Below are 19,109 nucleotides of genomic sequence, written 5' to 3' on the forward strand. Positions count from 1 at the left end.
TTTTCATCTCACACATGGTATTTTTTCATTTCTATATGTGTGATTTAAATCTTTTTTCATGCATTCTATATTTCTAACTAACATTTTTAACATATGGAGTACAATTAAAACAAATGTTTAGTGTCTTTGTCTGGCTATTGTAATATCTGCATCATTTCTGGATTCATTTGGATGTTTTTATTCTCCTTATTAGGGGGTCTTATATTTCTGTAGCTTTGTGTTCCTGGTACACATCTTATTGGGTACTGGGCATTTTGTATTCCTAAAAATATCCTTGAACTTTGTTCTGAGACATATTTAGGTTACTTAAAATCATTTTGATTCTTTTGGATCTTACTTTATAAGATTTGATAGGCAAGACCAGGGAGGGGTTCATCCTGGGGCTAATTATTTCCACGAGTGAAGCAAGACTTGTTTACTATATACTCTCACCAATGCCTATTAGTTGTAAGGTTTTCCAGACCAGCCTGTGAGTAACAAGACCCTTCTTGGCCTCTGTAAGCACTGGCCATTGTTACCTCTAATTCTTTTTGGTGGTTCTTTTCCTGACCTTGGGGAATTTTTTCACATCAGTGCATTAAAATGTATTCTGCTGAATAATCAAGAGGGACATTCTACAGATCACTGGGTTCTTTATCTGAGCATATCTCTCTTTTGAAATACTTCACTGTGCAATTCCTCAACTCCAGGAGTTTGATAAGCTCCTCTTAGGTTCCTCCTCACACCACCACTGCTTAGAGACTCTTTCAAAGAAGTAAGCTGGGACAATTATGGGTTTCAACTCATTTTTTTTCAGAGTCACTGCTCTGCATTGCCTAATGCCCTGGGTCTAGAAAACTGTTTCATAAAAAATTAAGTAAATAGATAAAAATATACATCATTGAAATGATAAAAGACATACATGAAGTCAAAAGCAAATTTTATACCTAATGAACAAACATGAAAAGCATTTCATTAAAGTTAAGTACATCTACCATTAACATGATTACATTTTTCTAGGACTTCTGATGACTGAAGAAGAAATAAAAGGAGGAATTGCTATTATTTGTAGTTGAAATATAATTGTCTTAGGGAAACAAAGAATGCCACCTATAAATTGAAAAAAAAAGTCATTTACAAAGATTTGTTAGAAAATATTTGACCCATAGTCTCTCCTCGGTGTTTCATTGCTTGTTTTTCAATGTAAAGATTATGAGCTGGAATAAGTATTAATATAATAATGGTAATTATCTATGTAGCACTAACTAGATGTCAGACACTGTCCTAAGTGCTTTATAGGTACTTAATTCTTTTACACTTCACTGTTGTCCCAGTTTGGGTGATGTTTAAAGGAAGAATAAAGATGTTAAATAAATCGCCCAAAATGGAATTGGGATTGTAACCAAGACCAGATGATTTCACAGAAAACACAATCAAAAATCTTAAATCTAATCATAAAATCTATAAAAAACTTGGAAAATGCAGAAATATCTAAAATGATGGTTACCCACGGTTTTCCATGCAAAAACCATTCAGGCACAATTGTAGTTATATGGTCAATATTTGAATTTTGATGACACTTGTCTTCTCCATGCAAAAGATCTAGTCTTCAAATTTTCTTCAGTGATTTCTAGGATTGTTTCACATGCATTTAAGCCAAGTTTGTTTGTATTCTTCCATTCTGCTTTCTTTTGCTATAGCATACTCTGTCACTCTGCCAGTCACTGAAATCTTCCACTAGTGGCTTTCTTGAGCCTTCAGTTTATCAGAAGTGCCCACTGATCTGAGGTAAAGAAAATTGTCAATGGCTCATCTCTGCCAGGACATTGTTTTGTGGCCCCAAAAGAGTTCCATATGTCCCTCTAGACTCAGAGTACCCTTGATCCAATAAGCCCAGTTGGCTTCGAATTGTTCTTCCTCTTTTTTAGGGTATTAAATACAGACCTTTGAGAAAAGTGGGGACGTAAGCCATAGTGCTCTCCATTTATCACCCTTTATGTCTAAAGTGTCCCCCAACAACCATATATATATATATATATATATATATATATATATATATAGAGAGAGAGAGAGAGAGAGAGAGAGAGAGAAAGAGAGAGAGGACCAGGATGTAATTAGTTCACAAAATTCTTATGAAAACACCTGTATCTAAAAAATATGCTTATTTTCTAAATGCATCTATTAGAAAATGAAAGGAAAATGTCTCCCCCAACCAAGGTGTCTTCAATAAGAATTAGATGGCTTTATTTTTCACATTTTATCTTGAAAAATTCAGAATACTGGAATATTTTGGGAAAAGACAACTCACTAGCAAAGAACCGAAAACCACTGTATTATAAGCAAGATACAAATACATTCATTAGTGCAGTGTGAAGAGAATAAGATGATGGTAAAAAAAAAAAAAAAACCTACTGATATTTGTCTCTTGGCATTTTTAATTTTATTGCATTTAAAAGAATCAGTTAAGAAGGACTAGAAAAGAGAATAGAGATAGTGTAGATTTTATCAAGGTCCTGAAAACACATGCTGGCTGGCTGGCTGAATGGATGGATGGATGGATGGATGGATGGATGGATGGATGGATGGATGGATGTGCAGACTTTTTTTTTTTTTTTTGAGACACAGTTTCACTCTGTTGCCTAAGCTGGAGTGCAGTGGCACAACCTTGTCCCACTGCAACCTCCACCTCCCAGGTTCAAGTGATTCTCCTGCCTCAGCCTCCAGAGAAGCTGGGATTACAGGTGTGCACCACCACACCAGGCTAATTTTTGTATTTTTACTAGAGACAGGGTTTCGCCATGTTGGCCATGTGGGTCTCAAACTCCTGACCTCAGGCAATCCGCCCGCCTTGGCCTCCCAAAGCGTTGAGATTACAGGCGTGAGCCACCGCGCCCGGCTAGACTGTCTATTCTCTGTTTGTGATATTATATAGTATTAGGTAAGCAAGCCTGCTGATGGAATGGGTGTGATGAGGGATTGGATAGAAAGAAAAAAGTCAAAGATAATTTTTAGTTTTTTACTTGAAAAAATTAGTGAATAATAATGGAATATACTAACTTTTAGAAATTGGAGACAATAGAGTTGGAGAGGTAAAAAAAATCAAGGTTTTAGTTTAGCAGAGTTGTGTTTTAAATTTCTTTCAGATATCTACATAGAGCTATCTACTGGTTGTTGAATATATTTGTGAAGTATTAGGCAAAAGTCAAGTTTGTGAATACATACGTGTGAAGCGCTGATCTATAACTAGTATGTAGCATTATTAGATGTATGCAGTTACTTAGGTAAAAAGTGTGGATGAAAAATGGAGATCCCTGGAGCATTTAGCGCAGAGGAGAAAGAACTAAGAAAGTGTGTTGTCACAAGTTCAACAAGGTGTTTCAAAGGGGACAGTGTGGTCAGCTAGATACAAGATTCCTACAGAAAAGTCAAGTGAGATGAGTGCAGCAAAGGAAGGCCCCTCCAGTTTGCTCTGTGAAGCTTTCTGGTGATCTTAATAAAAGCAGTTTCAGTGGAACTCAATAGAAGCATATTCATGATACATTATTTATTTGTATTTATTTATTTTTTCTTTTTTGAGACGGAGTCTTGCTCTGTCACCCAGGCTGGAGTGCAGTGGCACAATCTCCGCTCACTGTAACCTCCGCCTCCCCGGTTCATGCCATTCTCCTGCCTCAGCCTCCTGAGTAGCTGGGACTACAGTTGCCTGCCACCATGCACGGCTCATTTTTTGTATTTTTAGTAGAGACAGGGTTTCACCGTGTTAGCCAGGATGGTCTCGATCTCCTAACCTCGTGATCTGCCCGCCTCAGCCTCCCAAAGTGCTGGGATTACAGGTGTGAGCCACCGTGCCCAGCCATGATACATTATTAAGAAAACCATTTTTATGGTCACTTAGCATGCCATCATGTTCAGTCTATGTTGTACTATAATTTATTTTATTTTATTTATTTCTTTTTGAGATGGAGTCTCGCTCTGTCTCCAGGCTGGAGTGCAGTGGTGCAATCTTGGCTCACTGCAACCTCTGCCTCCTGAGTTCAAGCAATTCTCCTGCCTCAGCCTCCCAAGTAGCTGGGACTACAGGGGCGCATCACCATGCCCAGCTAATTTTTATATTTTTAGTAGAGATGAGGTCTCACCATGTTGGCCAGGATGGTCTTGCTCTCTTGACCTCATGATCCACCTGCCTCAGCCTTCCAAAGTGCTGGGATTACAGGTATGAGCCACCACACCCGGCCTCTATGTTGTACTGTAATTTATTTAAGAAATATTTTATAATATATATTTAGTTTATATCCATTTTTCAGTATTACAAATGACATAATTATGACTCTCCTTGTACATATAGTGTTATATCTTCAATCACTTCCCTAAGACAAAGTCATAGTTGAGGTGTTTTTTTAATTCACAGATAATGTACATGGTAAATATTTTGAATATATACTTCCAATTTCCCCCTCTCTATGCAGTTTAACTTAGAGTATAATTCCTGACCTGGTGATAAAATACAAATAAATGAACTAAAAATGATTTATCTTGTTTAAATTAAAGTAGAGGTCTCCAACACCCAACAACCCAATTCATTCCTCTACACTCATTTTGAAACAATAATTCTTATTTAAAACAGTTATCCTTTTTTATACTAGAACTAACTTTCTTCAGCTTACTTTATGTGTGAGAGAGATTTGGAAAGAAAAAGTCATATAATGCTATAGTTTCTGTTACTTTGAGTCCATATTCTATGCATCTCATACTGAACAAAGGTAAGGTTTGAGTAAAACCTACACATTCTGAATTATTTGAGCTACTAGGTAAATCTACCATTAAAACTAATGAAATAACATTCTGGCTAAAAAAGCACTCAAATCTTAAGAAATAAATTCACCCATGTTATTTTAAAAAGCATATAATAGAATAGAATCAGGGTTTAAAACAATCTATTGTGTTTATTTACATCTCACAGAGCAGTAACAATCAAAGTTAAATTAAAACATCCTCGGTGCTTGGCACATTGCCTGGCACTTCACAGGTGCTTAATAAATATTTGTTGAATGAATTCAGTCAGTTCAGGAAGAAATAACATATCAACATTGCATTATCTCCTGTGGATGAACTGCCTGTTTTGCAAGGTAGTCCAAGAATCAATAGTAATTACTTTAGGATTTTGATGATTTGAAAAATTAACTTTAAAAGTGTGAATTAGGTTGTGTGTTGGCTTCTCTATCTCTAAAGTTCAATACTTTGCTTTCTGAAATGAACCTACAAAAGCATTTTTTTTCTCCAAAGGAGTCAAGTACCCTTTAGACACCAAATTAAACACCTTAGTTTATCTTTAGTGCATGGTAATTGAATAAATGTGCCTTCCCAGTAATACCCACAATTTTATTTCTCCTATTACAAATGTTCATCCAACATGAGCATATTTTAGGCTGGTCAAAATCAACACCTCTATTAAACAGTATTTTCCTCCAGTCAATATTTTTCTCATTCAAACATTTACTTTCAGCAATCCTAAAACTCCAGCGATCTAAATATAGGCAACCTCAACTTGAAAAAATTCACAGCTAAAACTAACATATACTCTCTGCCAATCTGTGCACCAGCTGTGGATTAAAATGTGCTGAAAAGCAGAACATTTTGTCTCTCTTCAATGATCAAATAGTCTCTTGCAGCATATACAACTCTTCATTAAATGGGGGGGGGGTGGTGCTGCAGGAGGGAGAGAAGAATCTGGGTGATTTATTTTGAGGTGTCCGGAAGGTGCTGAAATCCACTTAACTTACAGTTGTCACCTGGTTCTTTAAACAAAAAGCTATCTGAGTATTAAATAGAAGCAAGGAGAGCAGTGGTAACTGAGTTAGATTCTTGGAAGGAGAGTATCTTCCTGACTTTTCCAAATTACTTTCAGATTTGCTTCCTGTTTACTTTCTGGCAAACATTTAAAAATATCTGCCCAAATAAGGTCGCATTTGCAGAGACTGTAGAAATTCCATGCAACTGCAAGGTTCCGGGAAAAAAATGACAGATTTATTACAGGGGTTAGCATTAGTCAAAGAGCTCGTTTAATTATTTTAAGTCTCTTGCAAAATGTGAGTTCTTTTTTCCATTAATATAGTATTTACCAATATATATTCTTCTAATATTTGTAGCACAAAATTGCTCAAAATTGTTTCTACAATCCCATAGACCACAAATTCTTTACTTATTTACTCATTTTAAATGGCCTCAAAAACTGTACAGGGATTATCCAGCACAGAATGTCTTACTTAAAAAGATTGATGCTAACCTGATCAGCATAATATACGAATTGAAGCATAGCATCACAAGAAAAAAAATCTTAAAATTGTTGACTGTAAAATCATGATGAATATTTTTTTCAGTTTGCACAATTGTCAAATTTTTGTAGAGACTTTTGTCCAATGGCAGAACAATCTGTTTTACTTATTTAGCTCCTCAAAGTTTAAGTTCTGTTGTCTCCTAACCATATGGCAAAACAGAATTGTCACTGTCTAATCATAGCTTGTATTATTTCACGTTAATGAGCAAACCTTAAGTTCTTCACCATAATTTTATAAATACAAAGTGTATGTATGTTAATCAAATTGCCAAATTTAAGATTATTACTCACTGAGAATCAAAATGGAAATCTTACACTAAATTAAAAAAAAGGAAAAATATTTGTATGTCTATGTATATCATTATGATATTTTTATGTAGATATTTTATCTTTAGATATTATCTCAATAAAAATAAAGAAAAACAGGAAATTTGAGTAACATACTTATCTTTAAAATATGCAATTTATAAAGCAGAAATACAAAAAAATCAAAGCAATATAAGTAGCATTTTTCTTATATTTAAGCAGTACTTTATACTTTTAAAACCTCTTTTAACTATTTCATTGTGAACTTTACAATCACTTTTCAAAATACAAAAACACACTGTTATTCTTAATTTTTAGATGAGAAGGCAGATACAGAAATTAAGTGATTTTCCACAATGTCTTACAACTGATCTCATGGTGGAAGTTGTTTTTAAACTTTCTTAAACTTCAAACACACACACACACACACACACACACACACACACACACACACCTCTGAATTACAATCAGATAGCCAAATAAAAAAAATCTCCTACTTGCCATGTGTCTTAAGAGGACAATAAAGCAAAAGTTGATATATGCATTAAAATAAAATGATATAGGCAAACAGTTCAACTAAAGGCAAAGCAGGAAAAAAAGAAAAAAATGCACAAATGATTGGAAGGAAAAAGTGGTTGTCTTTCTCTCTTCTTAATGCAAAAAAAAAAATCTAATCAGAACTCTAAATGTGAATTTCACAAACACAAGGCCACACCAAGGAAATTAAGAGCAGCACAGTATAGGTTAAGGGCCACTTAATGACAAAGCATAATCAGTCCATTTCAATTGACCTTTTAGAAATAATCAGTGTTTTTGTCACAGAGTTTTATAGTATTTTTTTTCAAGCAACTTAACTTCTCTATCCTTGACTAACTTGCAAAAGGATACAGAATTGAATATACAAATATACCATGTTACGGCTACCATTGATGTTCAATTCTTTTGATGGAGAGAGTACATAACAATCATCTTAATGGAACTATATAAAAAAAGATCAGACTATCTTTGAAATCCAACATCAAAAGTTTTCTGAAATAAGTAGTTACAATTTTTTAAATTTAAGTTTTAAATATTAGGTATTGCACAGAAATCAGAGGTAAACATGATTGATTCCAGACAATTTGCTCTGAAAATAAGAATTGGCCAAATGTTAAGCTCAATTAGACAGCTGTCTATATTATCTGGGGTTATGAAAGACCCTTTTGCTCTTACACTTTTTATCTTACAGCACCTCATGGTGTCTTAAATTCCCACTAGACTTAAGATTCTGAAGGTCACTGAACAAATGTCAATGTTATCAGCACACATTTTAACACATCTCACACATCTAGTCGTTATCAGCTATCAACACCTCAACTTGGATTCATGTAAAAAAAAGAGCCTAATCAGTTACCTGGCAAAGAATAAAATAAAGAACTTGTATATTATGATTGAAGGGAAAATGTGACAAATAGGCTTTCTTGTGAGGTAGAAAGGGTAGATATAATTGGGAAAATAAGAGTGAAGGACAACCAGAGGCCGACAATGGGAAGAATTAGATATGGGTTACTCTGTCTTTGTCTTTTCCAGCTCCACAAAAAACTTCAGCTCTAATCTCATCCATAATTCTAAAGCAGCCATTATAATCTTAGAAATAAACCAATACATTCAGTATTTTGTTTCTCACATTTTTACCATATCTCAGCATCTTCTTTATCACACATGTAGAAGTCTGTGGAGTTGTCATTAAGGATGTTAGGTAAAAGATTTCTACTTTAAGATCTCTGATAACTGGTGTATCAGAGATATCTGGTAACATATCAGGATATCTCCAAATGTGATATTTGCCTCAATTTTCCTGCCTGAAATTCTTCTAATGAAGTCCAGGTCTCTATGTCCATCACAACTAAATGTCACATGTTGTGAACAGCAAGAGGTTAGACCTTGTCAAAGCAGGATCTTGACTGAGCAGGGGTTTATTGGAAGATGCCAAGAACCAACCCAGGATGTACTACAGTCTGTAGTTCAGAGAGAGAGCAAAAAAGTTCATCCAGTGGACAAGAAAAAAAGACATAAGAAGAATTACCAGCACGGTCTGATGTATTTTGATTTATCTTGCCTAGTAGAGTCTTCCTCTGTTTTTTTTTTCTAATATTTGCTTTTTCTATTCTGTAAGTAATTCACGTTAACAAGAGAAGACTTGGAAAACATGCAGATGAAACCATATACCACCTGAGATTTAACCACCTGGAGATAATCACTAATAACATTTTCATATATTTCCTCCCAATCTGTTTTTTTTCTCTGCATATATAGTTGTAGATAAAAATATAGAGGGATGTTTTGCCTCAAAAGGTACATATGCTTGTATAAGCCTTATATCATTCAGTGAATTCTTGCGAATATTTTTCTAGTCCCTCAAATTCTATAACATGATTTAAAGGCTACAAAGTTAAGTCTAGTGTATGATATGCCATCTAAGGGTGCTATTGACCCATAGGAACTCAAAGGCAAACTGATGTTGTCTATTTCTTACCTGTCTTCTCCTTTGAACACTGGAACACTCTTGGCTCTTTGCTGGGTTGAGCCACCACGATGACACCACTGTGTATCTTACTTTGGGTGTCATGCATCCTACACCTCCTTCAGACCTATGAAATTGCACCTACTGGAAAAAAAAAAACATTTGCTGAAATTGTCCACATCTTTGCACTGCCTCTTAGACTGTCTGGCCATCTGTGTCAGAGCATCAACTTCCACAGCCCCATTTCTTCAATCCCATCTAATCCTGCTTTCCTCCCTGCATGTATTTGTGGGTAAGAGATACCATATCTTATTTCTAAGCCTGTTTCTAGAATTAAAACTGTACAGAGGAAATATTAATGAAAATGCATTTATACATGTTATTATCTTGCCTGGCTATCCCTGAACAGGTATGTAGATTTTAGTATGGCAGTTCCTGAACTCAATCTCCACACATAGGTAGGGGATCTTCTTTGGACTTTTGTCATATTTATTCAACAAGTATTTATTGGGCACTTACTATGTGTCAATCACTATTTCATTTGCCTGGTCTTTAAAGACTACATTCCAGGGAAAAAATAAGGAAAACAGACAAATATAATAAATACAAATATAAAAAATGTGATTGAGGAATCAAACAGTTCGCTGGCTTAAAGAATACTTAGGGGACCAACTTTAAAGAGATCAGGAAACACTACCCTGAGGAAATCTCCAGCCCATTGTGGAGACTCGCTTTCCCCAGGATCCCAAAGAATTAAATTCACCTTCTTACCATTTTCAAAAGCACCTAGTATGTTGCAGGCTAGGATCCTTAGAATCTTGCCATTCCTGTCTCACATGTCCTTCATCCCCACCAACGTCCAGTCAATGCAACTTCTCATTAAAATATGTCTATTTCTACCTCACCTGAAGCACTTAAATACCCGCAGTGAACGAGTTAAACGATTAAAAATGCATTTTTCTTCCCAGCCTGCAGCAGTTCAACACATGAATTATGTCTTTGATTCTGGCAACTCTTCTGCAACTAAAAAGATGTTTGAAAAAGGAAAACAGGAAATGCCACAGAGAAATGTGTCTCTTTGTTTTTTTGGAGAAAAACCTTCCCATTAGTGGCGTCCAGCAGAACAAAGTGAAATATGCTAGAGTTTAAGAGTTAGCCAAACCTTGGAATTGGATTCTAGTTCTGCATCTTGCTTACTGTGGTGAGCTCAGTAAATTACTGAATCACATTAAACCTCAATTTCCTCCTCTATAAAATGAGAATACAATACTCTATGTAATGTAATTCTAAGAATTAGAAATAATATATGTAAAGCACTTAGCACAGCACCCTCTCACATATCTCTGGATAAATAGCTATTGTTATCATTTCTTAATGACCTCATGATTAATTATGAATTGTTATCCACATTTTATTTATACATTATCCTCATGGTGTGCCACCATGCCCAGAAAGGTTAAATAACTTGCCCAGAATTAGAGTCAAGGTGAGGCTTCAACTCCAAAACTCTGCTCTTAACTATGGTTAGAGCACTATGAAAAATATAAATGTAGAATAGCACGTCAGTCAATTTCATTAGGTTGCATCTCAGGTTCAAGGCTATCCATTCAAAGTAGCACGTGGCAGACGGAATATTATGTGGTGCCAGGATGTGCCTTAAAATCAAGAACCATGCCTGAGTGACACTGAGAGTACTGATTTGCCTACAACTGCCTTCACTCAAGCAAGACTGAGCTCAAGGGATGGCAGGAAAGCAAGAAGGGTGAGGAAGGTGAAACCCAGTGGATTAAGGGATGGTAAGAGGAGACTACTACAGGGGGTCTCAAAGGAGTACACATATGCACCAAATACCAGTGAGGGAACCTAATTCAGACCACATTTTAAACATATTTTACATATTATGATGGGGAAGAAATTTTAATTGAAAAGATTTGTCCAGATGTTGCAGTGCCCTAGCTACCAAACTGGATTATATACAGGTCGGGAATCTTTTCTTAGGTGAAAAGGACTGACACTAAAGAGAAAATGACAGTGCTGAAACCATGAGATCGTGGTTCAGGCAGAACTAAGGAGCAGGAACCATGGCAAAAATTCAAGCCTTTGAACAGAGCCACAGTGCAGACAGGAAAGAGAAGAAAAGGAAAGCAAAGGCGCACAGCCTCGCAGGGAAAGAACACTCCTGGGGCTTTGGCCATACATAGGTTTCTTGGTAGCAAAGGCATTGGGGGAGCAACAAAGAGCCCAGCAGTCATGACCAGATTAGCTGTTTCTCTGGGGGGCTTTAGTTCTAAGCCCCATCAGATGGAGGGACTAAGGCATTTGGTATATTTTCTGACTTAGCCAAGGTTGCTTTAGGCAGGAGATTGCATTTACATCTGAAAACATCACTGAGTACATCCAGAAGTGTTGCAAAAAATAAACGTAGGGAAAATGGGGCCTAAATTGGACCTCTGTTTATTCAGCATAGGTGGAGATACCTACAAATGAACTTTCAAACAGGGACGTGAACTCTACAGTCACAATTGATCTAGTACTGAGTAGACAGATAGTATCTGGGAAGGTCTGTTACAGCCTAAGATAATAATATTAGCTGAAGGTCCATTTTTTACAGCATAACATACTGAACCCCAGAGGTTAAGAAAGGAATGTGATGCAAGTGAATGTTCATCACAACATTATTCACAATAGCAAAGACATGGAATCAATCTAAATGCCTATCAATGACAGATTGGATAAAGAAAATGTGGTACGTGTACACCATAGAATACTATTCGGCTATAAAAAAGAATGAGATCATGTCTTTTGTGGGAACATGGATAGAGCTGGAGGCCATTATCCTTAGCAAACACACAGGAACAGAAAACCAAATACTGCATATTCTCACATATAAGTGGGAGCTAAACGAGAAGAACTCAGGAACACAAAGAAGGAAACAACACACACTGTGGTCTGCTGGAGGGTGGAGAGAAGGAGGAGGGAGAGGAGGAGAAAAGTTAACTATTGGGTACTGGGCTTAATACCTGGGTGATGAAATAATCTGCACAACAAACCCCATGACATGAGTTCACCTATGTAACAAACTTTCACATGTACCCCCAAACCTAAAATAAAAGTGATTAATTAAAAAAAGGAATGTCAGACAATCAGTGTTAGTTTCTAGTCTAGATAAGAAGTTCTCAGGCACAGAAATATGTCTTAAGGTTTGAGAATGTAGATATTAGAATTATAGCAGAAAATTTGTTAGAGCAGTGATAGGGAGAATACTGAACTGACCTATCATGGTGGCACCAAGATACTCAATGGGCTTTAGTATTGATTTGTTTTTTTTATATATACAGTACTCTAAAGATAGAGCCAGTTACTAGGGATAAGGAAGTGGGTGTGCTTGACAGGGGGTGCAAGAATTACACATCTGAGTGTGCTGGAATGGGGCCTGGAGGACCAGGAGTGGAACCAAGTGTTTTTCTACAGTGTTCATGGAAGCAAAATGGCAATATCAAGGATTCTTTCCCAGGTATTAAACCACCTTTGACAATGAGAATGTTTCCCCTCCATATCGTTGTTCCACCAACACCTTCTTGTCTGCTACTCCTTTTCCCATGAGGGATTATGGTTATCCAAGCCCTTTGATACAGCAGCCTACCCAAGTCAGCCCTCCTGAAATTGTTCCTGACTCTCCTGATGAGGGGCCCTTCAAACTGATTTCTGGATTTTTTGACACAACCCAGTTACTCTGTGATCTTTTTGTTTGTTTCCAGGACAGAAAAAAAAAAGTTCTAGACTCATACGTTTCCTGCCTTAGTTCTGGAATCAATCATTTCTCTGAGGAGCCCTGGTTGCATTTAATGGAGAATGATATTGAGAACTCATGATCTGGGCACTAAGACTGTTCATTCTTTTTAAGATTTTGCTGCTCCCAGACCCTTGCAGTAGACAGAGGTAGGAAAGGTATATAGTCATGCATCACTTAACAGTGGGGATACATTCTGAGAAATGCATCATTATACAATTTTGTCATCACAGGGACATCATAGAGTGTACTTACACAAACCTAGATGGTATGGCTTACTACTCACCTAGGTTATATTGCACAGCCTATTGCTCCTAAGCTACAAACCTGTACAGCTTGTTACTGTATTGAACACTGTAGGCAACTGTAACACAACAGTAAGTATTTGCATATCCAAACATAGAAAATGTACAGTAAAGATACAGTATTATAATCTTAAGAGACCACTGTCATTTATGGAGTCTGTCCTTGACCAAAATATCACTAAGCAGTACATGACTATATATGAGTGTGTGTATGTATACCACAACTTACATCTATATTTATTTATGAATCCACATGTATTGAAAACTTCAGAAATCATTCTAGTTTTATTCATTTCCATACTTGTAACTCTCTTCTGATACCTGGATCACCATACCTTTAGCAGAATTACTTATTTGATCAAACCCCTGTGTATTAGTCTGTTCTCATGCTGCTAACAAAGACATACCCAAGACTGGGTAATTTATTTAAAAAAAAAGAGGTTTAATAGACTCACAGTTCCACACGGCTGGGGAGGCCTCACAATCATGGTGGAAGGCAAAGGAAGAGCAAAGGGATGTCTTACATGGCAGCAGATAAGAGAGCACGTGCAGGGGAACTGTGCTTTATAAAACCATCAGATCTCATGAGACTTATTTACTATCATGAGAACAGCATGGGAAACCCCCCCACCCCATGATTCAACTACCTTCCATAGGGTCCCTCCCATGACATGTGGGGATTATGAGAGCTACAATTCGAGGTGAGATTTGGGTGGGGACACAGGCAAACCCTATCACCCTGTTATGTCACCAGTCCATCTCCAGCTTTGCATAGATGTCCTCCTCACTTCACCTAGGCTCTGACCCCCAGCCCCAGGCCAGGTTGCTCCCCATGGCCTGTGTGGAAGCCCCCATCCCATCTCCAACTCAGATAGTCCAAGTATAGTAATTTATTCAAGTATAAATAGAATTAAAATGTCCATATCTTTGAGTATCTATGGTCTACATTTCATTTTTCAGTATTTAGGAAAAGTTGATTTGAGTAGTTTTCTATTCAGTTTCTAATAAAGAACAATCTTCCCTGTGACACCCTGTATTTGTCTAATACAGGGGCTGGCAAGCAGATTGTGGGCCAAATTCTGCCTATGGCCTAATAGTATACAGCCCTGTATACTAATTGTACATAGATAATATACACACAATATACACAGTTAGTATACAGCAATCTAAGAATGGTTTTTACATTTTTTAAGGGTTGTGAAAAAAATATATGTGACAGAGACCATATGTGATCCGGAAAAACTTAAGTATTTACTATCTGGCTCTTTACAGAAAAAGTTTGCCAACCCTGGTCTGGGATATCTTACTGCTCTGCCAACTTGGCTAACTCATTTACCAGGAGGTAGTGACATAAAATGAAATAAGTTTCTGAGCTGCTTTAAGCCTCAAGGACTAAATAAGTTGCAAGTAACCAGTGAAATCGCCATCATATCAAAACAGAAATAATGAATAACTTGCAAAATCATCAGTGAGAACAGGATAGTGCTAAGGATACAATCTAAGTCACCCCACTCCTTATCTCAGATTAAACATGCCAAGCTCCATTTGCCTCTGATTTGCGTGGTCATTAGTGGAAGCCTGGCCTCCAGTACTATTTATTTCAATAAACATCTTCTTATGCATTACTATTTATTTCAATAAACATCTTCTTATGTAAAATCCTAATGCTTGATTATATGAATTCGTACAACTACAGAATTAATGGAGTATAACCCTAATTCAAATTCAAAATTAAGTCAATTTTGAACTAAAATATAATTGATTGCAGGAAATACATAACCCTGGAAGTGGAGTACTTCAAAAGAACAAGGTCATTATTTCTTAGCTACATGCCAAATATGAATAGGGTGGGAGGGTAAAATTGTCACCTTTGAACTAATATAGCACCCACTTATTAGTAAACCTTGTAGGGCCAGGTGTGGTGGCTCATGCCTATAATCCCAGAACTTTGGGAGGCTGAGGCAGGCAGATCACTTGAGATTGGGAGTTCGAGACCAGCCTGACCAACATGGAGAAACCCCGTCTCTACTAAAAATACAAAATTAGCCGGGCATTGTGGCGCATCCCTGTAATCCCAGCTACTCGGGAAGCTGAGGCAGGAGAATCACTTGAACCTGGGAGGCGGAGGTTGCGGTGAGCCAAGATCACGCCATTGCACTCCAGCCTGGGCAACAAGAGCAAAACTCCATCTCGAAAATAAATAAATAAAATAAACCTTGTATATTTGGTTTACTGCTTTGTATTAGAAACCCATAGGCCTGGTTTCTTAGAGGCAAAATTGCAGTTTCTGGATGAAGATAAGAAAAACCCATTTACATGGCTACAGTAAAAAGTGGAACGCACAGAAACCGCTCCAAAGCTCTGCTAACAAAAGCATGCCTGACACAATTTTCTTTCTTCACCAACACAAGAGAAAGAAAAGCAATGCTCAGCATTGTTTATCAATTTAAGTGCATCAATTCTGTTTTCCACATATTGTGATTTCCCTGCCTTAAAAACAAAAAATCTCTTTTTTTGGAAGAAAGGTTTTAAATAGCTTCAGTCTGTTCCCTTTATTTTCTTTTCTCACCCAAGCAGTGACCCAGACAATTGGGGGCATATAAATGAAAAGTAATATGAAGCGGGGAAAGAAATAACAACTCAAAAAAAAACAATATTCACAGTGCCGTGAATTCATATTCCACTATTAGTTTACAGTCTCACATAACAGCTTAGGCTGAAATATGAGTTCCAGTGCAATGTTTGCACTAATTGTCCTGAATAATTCAGGTTTTACCACTTTCCAGGGCCTCTCTGAAGTGGGGTTGCTGGAAGCCATATTTGTTTCTTCAGCACCCACAATATGATGATTGTTATGCTGCAGACTACACAGTGAGCTGGAGCTGCTTGATTTGGAAGGCCGAACAGAGGAGAAATTTCAGAGCATTGCCAGTCTGAGAAACCAACTGGTGTTCAGTACATTCCACACACACTAAGATTGGAATCTTACCTGAGTTTATGGATTGCTGTGCATAGTCTCCTTTAACAAGGTTAGAGAAATCTCTAATTGCAGTTTTTGTTTTCTTTGGCTCAAGAGTGAAATTCTGAAGCAGGTGATGACTTGAAATAGGTCCTGGAGAGAATAAAGAAAGAAAATTAGCAAAATAAATAAATAAAAATAAATTTAAAAATACCTCATTCAACTGCTTTGTCTGCGTAATAACATTGAGCATGACTGTCACTCTGAAGACATATTAGCTCATTTAGGTAATTAGTGTGAGCAGCATGTTTCCCTACTTATTCCATTCAATTATAGGGTTCTCACTTTGTCATTACTGGAGTGTCTTAATGTGACTTGTAATTAGTGTAATTACAATCCAATGTTAATTATATCTGCCACTTAGACATAATTTTATATAGTAATGGTCTCTAATCTCAATAACCTTATTATGTTGTTTATTCAAACAGGAATTAAGTCTTCTTTCATGCGTCAAATACGGAGATTACAAAAAAGTACCGCTTGTGTCATTTTGATAGTTATGACAAGGGAATCTCTGAAATAGCAAAATCATATTTGAGACAATGTCTGCATGTGCAAACAATTAACAGCAGTTCCTCCCTGTTTCCGGAAATATGCCTATGTATCTCCAAATAACTGTGTTTAGAGGCAGTTTGAGCCTTGACTTGCTCATGAATTCTAGGAAGAACTAATGAGTGTACATGTAGTAGAAGCCTGTTACTGTGGTTCCATTTATTAGAATACCAAATACACTCATTGCTGACCATTTAATGGACCATTGCTCTGAGTAACTAACCATTGTATACAATGTAATAATATCACCTTGCATTTGAAGAGCACATTATCTTTTAAAGTGCTTTTAAAAATATTATTTCAGTTAATCCTGGAAACAACTTCATGGGAATAGGGATGGTAGGTATCAGATCATTGCAATAGATTGAATAAAAATGAAAGGACATTGGCCATGTTCATTTAACAAGGGAAGAGCTACTAATCAGAAGCCAATTCAGTAAAGCCATTAATAGCATGGGCTCTACAGCTAACATTTCTAGGTTTTGAATCCCAGCTCTTCCACCTAAAAATTCAGGGCCCTTCAGTAAGTTTCTTAACTCCTCTAACCATCAGTGTCCTCATCTGTATGTCAGAAATAGCAACAAGATCTAATCCACAGAATAGTTACATGGATTAAATGAGCTATAGAGAAAAAGCTTAAAACAGTTTTGGGCACAAACTAAAAACTAAATAAATATTGGCTGCTATTATTGTTATTCTCAACAGCATTCTCATCTCTTGATTTGTGACCCTATATTTTTTCCCATAAACCACATCATTTTCTTATAGATTTCCATATGCTAACTACTAATTAAAGGTTTGATCTATACACTGCAAGTTTTGTGTGCAGATAGTATATTCATTTAGAAATAGATAACTCTGACCAAGAACTATTCAATAAAGCTAAAAGGAAGGATCCTTTAGCCAACTCAGCTGTTATAAAACGCAATACCAAGAAATTCCTTAGGAAAAGATTCAGTGGTTTTATTGCTACAAGCACCAACACTTCACACTTCCTGACATACTCAGAGTGGTACTTCTTGTTACTATAATATTTCATGAATCCTGAAAAACTTAACACAGCCAAATGCAATAGCATGTGCAAAGTAGTCTTTACACACAGGCCTACAAAAATATTGGTTATTATTTATTTAACAGATCTCAGTATCTGTATTTTTAACAGAAATATTAAGTCAGAATGTTACAATTTACAAATCTTTCCTTTTGAGCTTTCTCATTGCTTTTAAGCTCAAGTTTATATCCTGATTTTCCAGAAACAAATAGGTTGCATACCAAGTTTTGAAATGACTTGCCTTCTCTTAATGTATGGTAATTTCTCTGATGAAGTTGACAAAGAACGAGTATTCTCATCATCTATTCAGTAATAAACAAGAAGATAGTTTTTGCTGCTAACTTCTCTAGGCTAACAACAACATCAACAATGAGCCACTACATTCCTGGCTATTTTTTTTAGGTCATTTTTAAAGTTCTCAGGTAGGGAAAATATTAGCTCTTGGAGTGTGCTCTAGGCTGGGGGAAAACGCTGGACCCGCTGGAGGTTTAGCAGTATAAACACAACCTGTTGGGAAATCTTTGGAATGTGCACTGCTGCCACGGAGCTGGTTATTAAATAGTAACTAGCAGCTCTTCTGACTTTTTGTTTTATTTTTAATTATTTGCATGCAATGTTGAGATAATTTTGCTGAACAAAAAAAAAAAAAAGAAACAAAAAAACACTAAAAGATATCAATTCCTCCCTCTCAATTCTTGGAGCAACTGCAGTGACCCAGGTTTAAACCTGAAGCTTCAAAAGATGTGGATGAATTGTCACTCCCAGAAGAAACCTTCACAAGGAGGCATCAGGTTTTAATGTTCTCAAGTGCATGAAGACTGCCGGCCTTTCAAGCTGCATGAGGCTTAAGAAATCACAAGCCCTCCAGCCTGTTGGCCATCCTTCTGATTAGTCAATGACGACCCCAGACTGCTTCTCCTAGAGTGCGAGTCTCCATTCTTGTCTGAAAACACGGATATCGAGTGGTAGTGGTGTGCAGCTTAAGAAATACAGGTAGTGGACAGGCACAAAGGCTCATGTCTGTAATCCCAGCACTTTGGGAGGCTGAAGCGGTGGATCAACTGAGGTCAGGAGCTCAAGACCAGCCTGGCCAACATGGTGAAACCCCGTCTCTACTAAAAGTACAAAAATTAGCCAGGCGTGGTGGTGGGCACCTGTAATCTCAGCTACTCAGGAGGCTGAGGCAGCAGAATTGCTGGAACCCGGGAGGCGGAGGTTGCGGTGAGCCAAGATCGCGCCATTGCACTCCAGCCTGGGTGACAACAGCAAG

General features: G+C 37.0%; 1 long non-coding RNA gene across 1 annotated transcript in view, besides 2 other annotated features; it reads right to left on the reverse strand.

Annotated features, from left to right (window-relative positions):
- LOC107985824 (uncharacterized) overlaps positions 1 to 16,329 on the reverse strand; it is a 35,677-nt gene extending 19,348 nt beyond the window's left edge. The window contains exons 1-2 of the long non-coding RNA XR_001739217.2: positions 16,207 to 16,329; positions 9,135 to 9,266 (exon numbers count right to left, since the gene is read on the reverse strand). This is a non-coding gene — a long non-coding RNA (uncharacterized LOC107985824). The remainder of the gene's footprint in view (positions 1 to 9,134; positions 9,267 to 16,206) is intronic.
- Positions 10,601 to 10,770: an enhancer, noted in NCBI's record as "experimental_53189 CRE fragment used in MPRA reporter constructs". NCBI's record gives its function as "activates a minimal promoter by MPRAs in K562 erythroleukemia cells, with activity observed for the non-introgressed 2:147702819 variant allele {active_cell/tissue: K562}" and the evidence as "EXISTENCE:reporter gene assay evidence [ECO:0000049][PMID:34662402]".
- Positions 13,857 to 14,093: a silencer, noted in NCBI's record as "fragment chr2:147705990-147706226 (GRCh37/hg19 assembly coordinates)". NCBI's record gives its function as "represses an EF-1alpha promoter that drives an FKBP-Casp9 reporter gene in an ReSE screen in HepG2 liver carcinoma cells {active_cell/tissue: HepG2}" and the evidence as "EXISTENCE:reporter gene assay evidence [ECO:0000049][PMID:32094911]".
- Positions 16,330 to 19,109: the final 2,780 nt, after the last annotated feature.

Source organism: Homo sapiens, chromosome 2, assembly GCF_000001405.40.
Source record: "Homo sapiens chromosome 2, GRCh38.p14 Primary Assembly".
Lineage (NCBI taxonomy): Eukaryota > Metazoa > Chordata > Mammalia > Primates > Hominidae > Homo > Homo sapiens.